Source organism: Homo sapiens, chromosome 6 (genome assembly GCF_000001405.40).
Source record: "Homo sapiens chromosome 6, GRCh38.p14 Primary Assembly".
In the NCBI taxonomy this organism is placed as follows: Eukaryota; Metazoa; Chordata; class Mammalia; order Primates; family Hominidae; genus Homo; species Homo sapiens.
This window is the reverse complement of record NC_000006.12, coordinates 42,590,717-42,605,011: the sequence shown is the minus strand read 5'-3', so window position 1 is coordinate 42,605,011 and position 14,295 is coordinate 42,590,717. Positions and strand designations below refer to the sequence as shown.

Below are 14,295 nucleotides of genomic sequence, written 5' to 3'. Positions count from 1 at the left end.
TCTGTCGCCCAGGCTGGAGTGCAGTGGCACAATCTTGGCTCACTGCAGCCTCAACCACCCAGGTTCAATTGATCCTCCTGCCTCAGCCTCATGAATAGCTAGGACTACAGGCATGCACTACCCTGCCCAGCTAATTTTTTAATTTTTTGTAGAGGCGGGGTCTTACTATGCTGCCCAGGCTGGTCTCCAACTCCTGGGCTCAAGTGATCTACCTGCCTTGGCCTCCCAAAGTGCTAGGATCACAGGCATGAGCCACTGTGCCAAGCCAGCTTATATTTTGATTTTTGCCATCCTAAGGACAATAAAAAATTTGATAGGAGATATAATCAGAATTTGCCTTAAAGTTCACTTTGATGCAGTGTAGAGAATGAATTGTACGGGGCAAGAGTGTACACGGCAGTCCAGTTAGGGGGCCATGCTGTCCCAAAATGAAATTAATTTGGACTAGGATGTTATAGTATAGTACAGTATACTATATGACAACAATACTATAGTAAAAATCATGAGGTACTAAGTCATTTTCATCATTTCCAAAAAGGTATAGTCACCTCATTTTATTAGAAAACCTACAACTTTATCTGAAACACAATTGAGAAAGCAAAAAAGAAACAGCACCAATGTCCCTCAGATCCTCATTCCAGCTTGTATTCATTCTAAACTATGACTAATTCCAACAAGCTTGGTCTTACTTCTAAGTAAGAAAGAAGGTTGTTTGAGACAAGCACACTAACAAGGAAAATAAAGCCCTCATCTTAATATATCTGTGGCAGAATCCAGCTCTCTGGCCACAAGTTTGTAATTTCAATAATTTAAGTAAAAATGGTAGATGTACACTAGAAAAGCACAGTGTGGAATACATTTTATTAAAAGTTCGAATCAAAATGATTAAAATTGAATTTGAGCATGTATTCAAACCAGAAACCTCATTTATATCAAAGAGTTTATTTCCTATAATGATATTAACATATAATAAACAAAACAAAAAGTGAAGTTGTAAAGTTAATCTATCATTTTATCATACAATCAAAGAAGAGAAAACTGGTTATGCCTGAAACCAGTCCTAGAGCTATGACAAAGTTTAAATATGGCTACAAACCAACTAATCAACCAACCAGCCAACCAAACAGGAAGAAATCTCCACCAATTAAATGGATCACGTTTTAAAACTATAAAATTGAGGTTATTGTTCTGCTAAAAACTCATTATTAAAAAATGATTATGCCCTATACTAGCTGTGTTAAAGTTAAAATTTAGCAGTTCTTCATACATGAAGAATAAACAGGTTATACTTACACCATCTCTAAATCTGCTGGCAATTCACTTTCTTTTTCCCAGGTTAATATTTCTACTGCATACCGAAACGTAATAGCAAAAATGTTATAAGTTCTTGCTATCACATCTTCTGATAAATGAACAAGAGGATCCTGAAAGAAACAACAGAAAAAAAAGAAAAAGAAAAAAAGGGCAATCATGTACATTAATTTTCATTCTGCTTCCATCCCTCAAAATAGTATAGTAAAAAGTTGACTGGTCTTCCAGCTTCAGCTTCTCTTCAATGAATTTGATCCTATACATTACCACCCTACCAAATAAAGCTTCTTAAAATTTTTAGTTCAGAACAATCCCAGTTATTGAATCAATTCAATCAAAATATTCAATGGCACTCAAATGCCTAATGAACAAATCTAAACATTTTAGAATGGTATTCCACGATCTCAAAAACTTAACATCAAACCAATTTTATAGCTTTGTATCTTACTAACCCCCAATTTCTAGAATACACAAAGGACTATTACCTAGGAAGGGCAAGCAATATTGAGTTTTATAGGTATAAAAGAGAGCTTGATTTTGACAGTTTTAAAGGTAAGAACTCATGACTTTCAGAAAACTGCCCACTGATGTTGTAAGAAGCACTCTCTTGTCTACTTTCTCTCAGCAGGGTGAGACGTGCATGCATGTTAATAGGGAACTTCATACACTAGACGTAAGAGTGAGAGTCACTGAATTTCTAGGGTAATGTAAAAAAGTATTACTTTATGCTATGTTTAATCAAGGTAATTTTCAGTCAAGGCTAGCAAAATGTTTTGCACTATCTTTCATCTTAATGCTTTATCTTAAATCTAAACTCTTTAGTTTAATGGCTAAGTAGCATTATTTTCATTTCTCAAATTAAAATAGCAGTATGTTCCAACATCATGGGATGGGAATCAGCAGATCCCTGAAAATAAATACACACACACACACACACACGCACACACAGCATAAAAATAAAACATAGTGCAAAATATAAAATATGTATTTAATATTCTTATAATATATAATTACATTTTATAAAGTATATATTTTATAAAATATATTTGTATATATTAATGTAAATGTATATATACACACACACACACACACAAAAACACATATATATGGAGACAGAACATTTTTGCATACCCACACCAAAGATGAGCCTAATGGAACTGATATAAAACAAATGGAGAAGGTGGAATAAAAGAATGGGCGGCCGGGTGCAGTGGCTCATGCCTGTAATCCCAGCACTTTGTGAGGCTGATGCAGGCGGATCGCGAGGTCAGGAGATTGAAACCATCCTGGCTGACACAGTGAAACCCCGTCTCTACTAAAAATACAAAAAATTAGCCGGGCGTGGTGGAGGGCGCCTGTAGTCCCTGCTACTTGGGAGGCTGAGGCAGGAGAATGGCATGAACCCAGGAGGCGGAGCTTGCAGTGAGTGGAGATTGTGCACCACTGCACTCCAGCCTGAGTGACAGAGCGAGACTCTGTCTCAAAAAGAAAAGAAAAGAAGAAAAAAAAAAAAGGGCCAGGCATGGTGGCTTGGCCGGGCACGGTGGCTCACGCCTGTAATCCCAACACTTTGGGAGGCCGAGGTGGATGGATCATCTGAGGTCAGGAGTTCAAGACCAGCCTGGCCAATGTGGTGAAACCTCATCTCTACTAAAAATATAAAAGTTAGTTGAGTGTGGTGGTGGTGCCTGTAATCCCAGCTACTTAGGAGGCTGAGGCAGGAGAATCGCTTGAACCCAGGAGACGGAGGTTGCAGGGAACCGAGATTGTGCCACTGTACTCCAGCCTGGGCAACAGAGCAAAACTCCATCAAAAAAAAAAAAAAGAAAAAAAAAAGAATGGAGAAAAAAGGACAAAGATGCCTAAAACAGATGGGTCTAGAGCTTGAAGAAGGTAAATTTCCTTTTCTCAGTAAGAAGCAGATTTTTCAAATGTTTATAGCACCTTTTACCTATAACTCTTCTCATACAGGCTGCTTTATATGTCCCATTGAGGTTTTTTTTTTTTTTTTTGAGCTAGAGTTTCGCTCTTGTCGCCCAGGCTGGAGTGCAATGGCACAATCTCGGCTCACTGTAACGTCCGCCTCCCGGGTTCAAGCGATTCTCCTGCCTCAGCCTCCTGAGTAGCTGGGATTCCAGGCATGTGCCACCATGCCTGGCTAATTTTGTATTTTTAGTAGAGACAGGGTTTCTCCATATTGGTCAGGCTGGTCTCAAACCCCTGACTTCAGGTGATCCACCTGCCTTGGCCTCCCAAAATGCTGGGATTACAGGTGTGAGCAGCCGCGCCCAGCGAAGTTTTTTATTTATTGTTTCTGCTAGCAAGGTTTATTACTATTTGTTATGGAGGCTTTAGAAATAACTGACATGGTGAAATCACTTGTATACAGAAAGAATCAGAGCTGGTCCCTCCTGGGGATTCAAACAAGAGTAGGTATTAATAATAATATGAACCTCATACTACACCAAAATAGAAAGTGGAATCAAAATTCAGCTTTCCTGGTACTATTATCTCACCAAACAGTCATTCCATTTCTTACAGTTATAGCCCATAAGACAAAAACATTTAAGGATTGAAGAGTTTGATAAACAGGGTTTATAAAACTTTAATGGTCCTGGAACAGAGACAACCACCAATTCTTGAGAATCCTAACCAACAGTTTCCAAACTCTATTTTACAAAAATCCCAGGGCATGGTAGAGATGTCCTATTTGAATTAAAATGTCAGTTCCAAAATATATTCTAGGCCGAACATGGTGGCTCATGCCTATAATCCCAGCACTTTGCAAGGCCGAGGTGGGAGGACTGCTTGAGCCCAGGAGTTTGAGACCAGCCTGGGCAATACAGTGAGACCTCATCTCTACAAGAAAAATTTAAAAATTAGCAGAGAGTAGTGGTGCATGCTTGGGAAGCTGAGGTGGGAGGACTGCTTGAGCCTGACAGGTGGAGGCTAAAGTGAGCCATGATCTTGCCACTACACTTCTCCAAGCCTGGGCAACAGAAAAAATACACTCTAAAATGTGTTACATTCCATATTGGAACACCAACTGATAATTTTTTTTTTTTTTTTTTTTTTGCTACAGTAACCCAGTTTGAGGCAGGCCTAGACAGATTCTTCTGCCATCTCCGTACACAAATTTTAACTTCTAAGAAATGTGTCACTCATCATAAAGAATTATTTCTGCATTGAAAAGATGCTACAGCTGTACAAGTCTACGAATGTTATGATGGTAAATTAAATGTCAGGAAAGACTAAGACATTCCTGCTCAGATTGCCCTTTTCATAGCATAAATCAGTTGGAACAATAAATGACATCCTATTGTATTATCTATTATTACTAATAATTTTAGCTCTTTGATTATATTTATGCTACAGAATGTTCATCTGTTGGTGAGTCTGCTTTGATTTACTATTCTTTCAAGCTAGAAGAATGCAAGGCATGTTGTTAAAAAGGTTGTTAGTGGTTATTTTAGAGGGCAGTAGGAATTATGGAGAACTTTATCTTTTATGCAGTATACTCCTGTAATATTTGAATTTGTAAAATGCAAGCATGTATTACAATAAAGATTTTAACTGTTATCATATGCAATGTAGGTATGAATGAGGATTTTCTCCATACTGCCCAACTAAAAATATAGAAATAAACTAGAGGCTGCAGTCATCAAAACAACCTCAATTATCTCATAAACTGACTTTCTAACAATAACACACGTTTCAATTTACAAAAAATAAATCTATTATTAATACCACTTTAATGTGCTCTATTATTTTTTAAAATTAGATTTTCATTTAAAAAAACAATTCTAGCTAGGCGTGGTGGCTCACACTTGTAATCCCAGCACTTTCAGAGGCAGAGGCAGAATTGCTTGACCCCAGGAGTTTGAGATCAGCCTAGCAGGGTATGTGCCTGTGGTCGCAGCTACTGGGGAGGCTGAAGGGGGAGAAATCGCTTGAGTCCATGTGGTCAAGGCTGCAGTGAGCCATGATTGCACCACTCTACTTCAGCCTGGGAAACAGAGCAAGACCTCATCTCAACAAAACAAAACAAAACAAAAACAAAAGCATAACAACAACAACAACAAAAAAAACCCCCAAACAAAACCCCAAACCATGCAATAATTCTGCTAAAAATGCTTTTTAAAACCAGTATAAGGTACTGTGTTAAGAGCATCATTACTGGAGTCTATACTACATAGGTTTAAATCCCAGTCCCATAATTTCCTATGTGGGACACTTTGGGCAAGTTTTTTTTATCTTTCTAAAACTCAAGTTTCTCTCTTTTTTCTTTTCTTTAAGAGGGTCTCTCTCATCCAGGCTCATACCTCACTGTAACCTCAAACTCCTGGGCTCAAAGTGATCCTCCACCTCAGCCTAAAACTCAATTATTTATAAAATATTGGTAACAGCATTATCTATCTTATGAGGCTGTTTTGGGAATTAAATGAGATAGACCAAATAGTCAGCATTAACATCTAGTTATTAATAATTACTGATCTGAATTCAAACAGATGGGAGCAGCATTTGTGAGTGAAATTTCAGATTACAAAAATCTTCACTTAGGTTGTTGTTCAGTTAATATTTCTTATTTAATTAAATCTAATTCCAAATAGGATTTACAGCAACTTAAGAATACATCTACATCCCAGCTACTTGGGAGGCTGAGACAGGATGACTCTGCTTGAGTTCAGGAGCTGAAGACCAGCCTGGGCAGCACAGTAATAAAAACCATGTCTCTAAAAATAAAATAAAATAATTTTTTTAAAGAATGCACCTAATAGAGTGGTATATTAAAAAAGATGTAAAAAGCAGGTAAATGAAAATAAAGATAGGAAAATAAACCATAGTCAAGGTAACATCTATATATAGATAGAGATCACATAAATTTTCACACAGCTACTACAGGCAGGCTGTTTCCAACCATCTGGCTCTTTTTCCAAAAGTCTCAACAAAAGGAAACACAATCAGTTATGAGATTCACACCAGGAGAAACATAACATTTCTTAATATAGAGACCTAAGAGAAATTCCTTATGGACTCCTATAAAGACTAACAAAGGAGATACCACATATTATGTGTTGGTTCTCAAATGGGAGAGGTACATCTCACCACCCTCCCTACTCACTCCCACACCCCAAGGGGCCATTTGCAAACCTAGCTGGGCATTTTTTTCTGTCACTGTAGTGGAAGATGCTAGTGACATCTAGGGAGTGGGAACTGAGTAGGCGAAACACAATGCTTTCAGTAGCCTACACCTAGGGTCAACAAACTTTTTCTGTAAAGGAGATAGTACTTTAGTCTTAGCAGGCTATAGGGTCTCTGCTGCAACTACTCAATTTTGTTTGTAATGGGAAAACAACTACAAATACTACGTTAAAATTTAAGCATGACTGTGCTTCAATAACATTTTATTTATGGACACTAAAATTTGGATTTCATATAATTTTCTCATGTCACAAAATACAATTCTGTTGATTTTTTTCAACTATTTAAAAACAGACACAAGAACAGGTTGTGGACAAGATTTGGCTTGTAGGAGTCAGAGCTTGCTGAACCCTGTCCTATACAATGAAGAAATATCTCACCCCCAAATGCAAAGAGATGAGAAGACCTGTGGAACTCCTGCATAGCATTTCTATATCACCAGGTTTCCCCCAGCTTTTTCGGAAGATGTAGGCTAAATGTATGACAAAAAAATTATGTTCAACAGTTACTGGGAACAGGTATGTTAAACAAAATGCTATCTTAATACCCTTGAAGACTTCATTTCTCTTTTTTTTTTTGGTTTTTGAGATGGAGTTTCGTTCTTGTCCAGGCTGGAGTGCAATGGCGCAATCTTGGCTCACCACAACTTCTGCCTCTCGGGTTCAAGCGATTCTCTTGCCTCAGCCTCCCAAGTAGCTGGGATTACAGGCATGTGCCACCACGCCCGGCTAATTTTGTATTTTTAGTAGAGACGGGGTTTCTCCATGTTCGAGACCAAGCTGGTCTCGAACTCCTGACCTCAGGTGATCTGCCTGCCTCAGCCTCCCAAAGTGCTGGGATTACAGGTGTCAGCCACCACGCCTGGCTGACTTCATTTCTCTTAAACTTTTTTTTTTTTTTGGAGACAGAGTCTCACTCTGTCGCCCAAGGCTGGAGGGCAGTGGTACAATCATGGCTCACTGCATCCTCAATCTCCCCTGGCTTTGGTGATCCCCTTACCTCAGCCTCCTGAATAGCCGGGACTACAGGTGCACGCCACCATACCTGGCTAATTTTTGTAATTTTTGTATAGACGGGGATTTGCCATGTTGCCCAGGCTTGTCTTGAACTCCTGGGGTCAAGTGATCTGCCCACCTCGACCTCCCATAGGGCTGGGATTACAGCATGAGTCACCGCGCCTGGCCTTAATTAAACTCTTAAATATAAATTAAATGGTAGAGTTTGGAAGGCTTTATTCTTTGTCTAGTTCCAGGAGTATACATTCTCCAGGCAGGATTGTATGACTTTTGGCTAGGCAGGGGAGCTTGCTGGTGTCTTCTTAAAATTCAGGAAATTAAGTAGAGCTTGGACTGTTGGATAGCCATCCCACTAATGTATGAGGATAAAGCCAACAGAGCAAATGTAGGCAGATTCAAAACTTTTCATTAGAAAATTATTTTAAGTCTACTCTAACACAGGGATAAAAAAGGTAACAGAAGTCCTAAAGTATCTTTTCCAAATAAATGACATGACATTTACAGAACATAAAATTAACCATTTTAAAGTGAACAACTCAGTGGTACTTGGTACATTTATTATAACGTGCAACTACTACAATCTAGTTCCAAAACATTTCCATCACTCCAAAGTAAAACCCCTTACCTACTAAGCCATTTCTCTCCATTTTCCTCTTCCCCAGCCCCTGGCAACTACCAATCTGTTTTTTCTCTCTACAGATTTACCTATTCTGAATATTTCATATAAAAGGAATCATACAATATGTGACCTTTTGAGTCTAGCGTCTTTCACTTAATATGTTTTAGAGGTTCATGCATGTTGTAGCATGTATCAGTTCTTCATTCCTTTTTATGGACGAAAAATATTCCATTGTATGTATATTATCACAATTTGTTTATCCATTCATTCACTGATGGACATTTGGGCTGTTTCTACCTTTTGACTATTGTGAACAACATTGCTACAACATGTGTGTGCATGTACTTGCTCAACTTCGGTTTTCAGTTCTTTTGGGTATATATCTAGGTGTGAAATATACGGTAATGTTTAATATTTTGAGGAACAGCCAAACTGTTTTCCACAGCACTGAATCATTTTATATTTCCACTAGCAATATACAAGGGTTCTAATTTCTCTATATCCTTGTCAATACTTGTTATTACTTTAATAGTCATCTTACTGAGGGTGAAGCAGTATCTCACTGTGGTTTTGATTTTGCATTTCCCTAATGACTAATGATGTTCAGCATCTTTTCATGTGTTTGTTGATTATTCATATATCTTCTCTGTAAAAATGTCTATTCAAGTCTTTTGCCCATTTTTAAATTGGGTTATCTTTTTACTTGCTGAGTTGTAAGATATAAACTCTGCATACTAGATCCTTTTTGGATACATGGCTTGGATATACACACATATACTTTCTCCTGCAGTCCTAAAGTTTTATACCAGTGGTTTTTAACCTTTTTCTAAAGCACAATTCTTTTTTTTCAAATATATCTTTATTTGTCCTGTATTTCTACATACAGAACCCCAATCAACTATATAAAAATGGAGCTTCTCCAATAGAAGTGGAAAAATCTGGAACCTTGACCACTTGGCATCTTACTGTAGCAAATTACAGAACCCTTTCACAAAGCAAATGAAAAACAAAACATGTTTTCCATAGCACTGAATCATTTTGTATAAATTTTGATTTGTACATCAAAAGCTTTGGTCATTCTGATAAAATATATTTGAGACCTGTAGGATATGGGTACCAGGAAGAACTTTTTTTTTTTTTTTTTTAAAGACAGGGTCATGATCTTGGCTTGCTGCAACCTCTGCCTCCTATGGCTCAAGCGGATCCCACTTCAGCACCCCCAACCCAAGTGGCTGGGACCACAGGCACGTGCCACAACACCCAACTAATTTTTGTATTTTTTGTAGGGATGGGGTTTTGCCATTTGCCCAGGCTGGTCTCAAACTCCTGGGTTAAAGTGATCCACCCGCCTTGGCTTCCCAAAGTATTGGTATTATAGGTATGAGCCACCTTGCCTGGCTGAGGAAGGACTATTGATGTCCACTTGCCCCAAATCTATATCAGGCCTACTAACAATGTAGACGTACTTGAGTGTACCTATTCCCCTGCCATTTAAAAATAAAATCTGAAAGAAGGATCTTGAACTATACAACAAATTGTCATAAAATGTAGCAGAAGAGGGACTGCCACAGGTTGGCTAACGGATACAAGAACAAAGCTAGATAGAAAGAATGAGTTCTAATGTTCTACAGCACTATAGCATGACTATAATTAACAATTTACTGTATATTTTCAAATAGCTAGAAGAGCGGATGGTGAAGGTTTCCAAAACCAAATAATGTTAAATGCTTGAGGTGATGGATATGTTAATTACCCTGATTTGCTCATTACACATTGTATATATGTATCAAAATATCACACTGTGCCCCATAAATATCACGCTGTACCCCATAAATATGTACAATTATTGTCAATTAAAAATAATAAAACATAATCTATTGTAGCATACCATTGAAAGATTTAATCATTGTATAATTACAGTTAAGTGAGTTATTAGAAATATATGGAAAGTTTTTGAAGTTTTAAAAAAAGCAGCAGAGATTTAAGCATTTATTTTGTGGGACTCTACTATTCCATTACAAATCCATTTAAGAAAAATAATGCAGGATCAACAATTTGAAAAACACAGTAAGCAGTGGGAATTATTTGTACTGAGCTATCATCACTACACATGGTCCCATCACATAACCAATGATAATGGAAACCAGGAGATGATGATTGGGATTGGCTGTCATGTATGGTAACAGAAAAGAAAGCTATCTGGCCCCAAAAGTCTTTGTTATAATAAAGATATACAAAACTCAACTTGGTTAACTGGTCTACACATATGGGAAAAATAATCCTCTCAACCATAGGTTAGTACTCAAATAAACTTCAAGTATGCTTAAAACAAAACCCCAACCAAATAAAAAATCAGAATTAAATGAAATTTCCCAAATTTCAACTGTGTACTATTAGCAACCGTACAGCATCCACAAAATGCAAAGAACTTTCAAAGTAAACTAGTCACTGTCAATAGTGGAAGTACTATTTGCTTATCCATTTCTCACATCATCTAATGACTATTTCTCAAAATATTTCAAACTTGGGTTAAAAACAACTTTGTGAAAATGTTTTTACCTCTTCTTCCTCAATTTCAGAGGTGTTAAGTTCATGTTTTTGACAGTAAGGACCCTCTTTCCAGGCTTCAGTATCACCACAGTCACAGAAACCTCCACCTCCTGATGTTGTCATCTTGGAAAAAAATTGTAAAGTATCTTGTCAATAAATATTTACTGAGGGCTATCAGATAATAAATAAGAATATCAAGTGCTAAGGAAATACCATTGCTTAAGTGTTTAATTTCTTTGGAGGCATAAAATTAGATAAAATGCCAAACCTCTCAATGTTTTAAAGTTTATTTTAAATAAGCCTATAAGCTAATCTAAGTGATTTCAAAATAAAATAAGCTACTTTGTAATGTTTGCCTACATGACTTCCTTAATTAGGAAAATCATGAGGATCACAAGGGTTTTCTTGCTGGGTTTTGGTTAAATTGGTATAATGCTGATATCTACGCTACAGGTTGTGATGCTATAAACACAATAGACTCAGGGGTTATACAGATTCCTCTAGTTGCTGTCTCCTAGAGTCTAAGGGTGCTGCATTTGCTTTGGAGAAATTAACCAACAAAGACTATAGAAATAGTTAATTTTTCTTCTCTAATACACCTTAAATAGCCACTCTTTGAAAGGACAAGTAATAGGGGCTCAGGAAATGCAAAAGTAGACTGCCTAATAAAAGCTTTTCACCACCTGCAATGTTCAGGAATTATTCATAATTCCTTAAGACAGGGCAATGATTTAAGAAATCTGGCATCACAGAACCAGAATTAATAATTGGTAGACTAGAAATTCTGCTTTTCTTAAAATAGTATGAGGAAGAGCTTACTAACAGGTATTAGATACAGCAAATTTTAGAATAAGCCCTATTATATTCTGCCCAAAGTAAGTATTTGTGTTATATATCACAATATAATTAATGTAACCCTATAAATGACAACTATTCCCAGGGAATGCAAAGATATATGCCAAGAAATGTGGGTAGGAGTCATTTGGAAAATGACACGTGCTTGTTTCAGTTACCAAACACAGGCAGAACAGCTTAAAGGAAACTGGGCCTCTTTTACTGATTTATGAGACTAATGAACAGACAAGAATATAAGTAGCCCAATTTTGTAGCTGGGTTTTTATTATTTTTATTTTTTATTTTGGGATGGAGTCTCGCTCTGTCGCCCAGGCTGGAGTGCAGTGGTGTGATCTCAGCTCACTGCAACCTCCGCCTCCCAGGTTTAAGTGATTCTCCTGCCTCAGCCTCCCGAGCAGCTGGGATTACAGACATGCGCCACCATGTCTGGCTAATTTTTGCATTTTTAGTAGAGATGGGGTTTCACCATTGTTAGCCAGGATGGTGTTGATCTCCTGACCTCGTGATCCGCCTGCCTTGGCCTCCCAAAGTGCTGGAATTACAGGCATTAGCCACTGCGCCCGGCCCCGTAGCTGTTTTAGTTCATTATTATGAACTCCTGGGTAGAGTAAATAAAAACAAACAGGAGGAAAAGTTCTGACCCAGATGGGCTCCTGAATTAAGAATAATATTAAAATATTCCTCTCTACCATTCTGTTTTATGATTAGGGTGAAAAGTTCCATCTAACAACCCTACCCTTTGAATCTCCATGGTCTGTCTTCAATTTCCAATAGAGGAACCAGGACAGGATTTGGAATAATCTGTATTTATCTGTGTCCCTGACTTAAAAGCAAACAAACATACCTGAATTTTGAAAAGTACTGACAGCATTACAGCAGTGAAAAAATACTAAACTGGTGGGTCGTAGGTGCTGGAGTTGGGTCCTCTCCTACATTGTAGTAGATGCCTCTTTAATAAACATTAAAAAATAGCAAAAACAAACTAGTTGAAAACCAATACAGAAGAGCTGATATCTCTATTATCTTTTTTAAATCATATGCTCCAAGAAGTGTGGATTCATAATTTGTTTCTACACTGGCACCCTATATCCAATGGTATTTAAATAAACACACTGTTTAAACCACCCTCCCCCCATTTTAGTGTTAAATCTTTGCATTTTGAAAAGAAAGAAAAGATATTTATTATAAAATGCAATACTGCGCATGGTTATTATTTGGACATTACTAACCCTATATCGATGATCTCTGTGAATACTTCCCAAAAAGCACTCCATGCACAAAACACAAGTTGGATCAACTGCACAGTCTCTGTAAAGTTAAAAAAAAAAAATCAAAGTGTCAGAAAATAACTATATATTTCACAACAGAATTATTTCAAATTGGAATCCATCCTAAAAGAATGAAAACGTGAAGTTTTTTGGTGTTTTAAAAAAGGAAGTATCATTCCCAAAGATCTGTCAGATCTTTGATCAATGAAAGCAGTTTAAGGACCTGCGTCTCCATAATGGATGTGTGCTAGGGAGTCTTTCAAGGCACATATTATTAGAACAGTAAATTTTAATGTAATGGTGTGTTTTCCCATAGATTTGTGGAAATCACATTACACATTAAAACACATAGATGTATATGAAATATACTCAAAATATTTATGAATTCTTAAGATTCATATATTGGAATTTCAAATAACTTCTTCCAAACAGGTATTTGAGACCAAGGGTCTTCAAAGTGATATGTATACATCCCTAGAAAGGCAGAAGTATCAACTGAAATGCAAGAAGACAATATTTGAACTTACATTTCTACTTAAATTTTAACTAAAAAGGGAAATTAAACCTTCTATAGGTTCACTGCACTGAATGATACAGGTCTCCTCACATGGCCCCTATTTCTGGTATTCACACAACACATATGGCCCATAAGATATCCTGACTGAAGAGTTTCAAAAGGTTGGTTGGGGTGCCCTGAGTTGTTTCATTTGCTTTCTTCATACTGCCAGTTAGATACATTTATAGATCATATCTTAAGAGAATCTAGACAATTCCATGAAATGAAATGGGGAGTGTAAAATAAGAAATCTATATTGGTTCCTGCCCCTGGTTCCTGACACCAGGCTCCTAAAACTCTTGTAGATAAGGGTGCTAGTAGATGGGCTAAAATTTAGTCTTTAACCCTAGTTACAGACACAGAAATCCCCTGGGTGACAGAAGAGTCTTTTGTTCTTTTTATTGAGCCAGGCTGGAGTGCAGTGGCATGCTCATGGCTCACTGCAGCCTCAACCTCTTGGACTCAAGCAATCCTCCCATCTCAGCCTCCCTGGTAGCTGGGAGTACAGGTGTGTGCCACCATGCCCAGCTAATTTTTGTATTTTTACTAGAGACGAGGTTTTGCCATGTTGGCCAGGCTGGTCTCAAACTCCTGGCCTCAAGTGATCTGCCTGCCTTGGCCTCCCAAAGTGCTGGGATTACAGGCATGGGCCACCGCACCTGGCCTAATTCTCTTTTCTATTCCACTCATCTATGTCTATCCTTAGGCCAGTACTATACAGATTAATTTGTAATTGTTCTGTGTGTACTTGAAAGAATATATATTCTGTTGGGACAGAGTTCTCTAGATATTTGATAGCAAGTTTATTAATTTTATTGTTCAAATCTTAGATCACTCTGCTTTTTATCTTCTTTATCACTTCCTGTGAGGAAGGTGTTAAAAGTCTTTAACTAGAATTGTTGATTTTTCCATTTCTCC

At 37.5% G+C, this 14,295-nt stretch overlaps 1 protein-coding gene across 9 annotated transcripts in view, besides 1 other annotated feature; it reads right to left on the bottom strand.

Moving 5' to 3' along the window:
* UBR2 (ubiquitin protein ligase E3 component n-recognin 2) overlaps positions 1 to 14,295 on the bottom strand; it is a 129,477-nt gene that overhangs the window by 88,494 nt on the left and 26,688 nt on the right. For all 9 annotated transcript variants that reach the window (XM_017010594.2, XM_011514438.3, NM_015255.3 and 6 more), the window contains exons 3-5: positions 12,783 to 12,861; positions 10,708 to 10,821; positions 1,294 to 1,424 (exon numbers count right to left, since the gene is read on the bottom strand). In XM_017010594.2, the coding sequence (XP_016866083.1) occupies positions 1,294 to 1,424; positions 10,708 to 10,821; positions 12,783 to 12,861 (324 nt within the window). The remainder of the gene's footprint in view (positions 1 to 1,293; positions 1,425 to 10,707; positions 10,822 to 12,782; positions 12,862 to 14,295) is intronic.
* Positions 742 to 928: a silencer, noted in NCBI's record as "fragment chr6:42571822-42572008 (GRCh37/hg19 assembly coordinates)". NCBI's record gives its function as "represses an EF-1alpha promoter that drives an FKBP-Casp9 reporter gene in an ReSE screen in K562 erythroleukemia cells {active_cell/tissue: K562}" and the evidence as "EXISTENCE:reporter gene assay evidence [ECO:0000049][PMID:32094911]".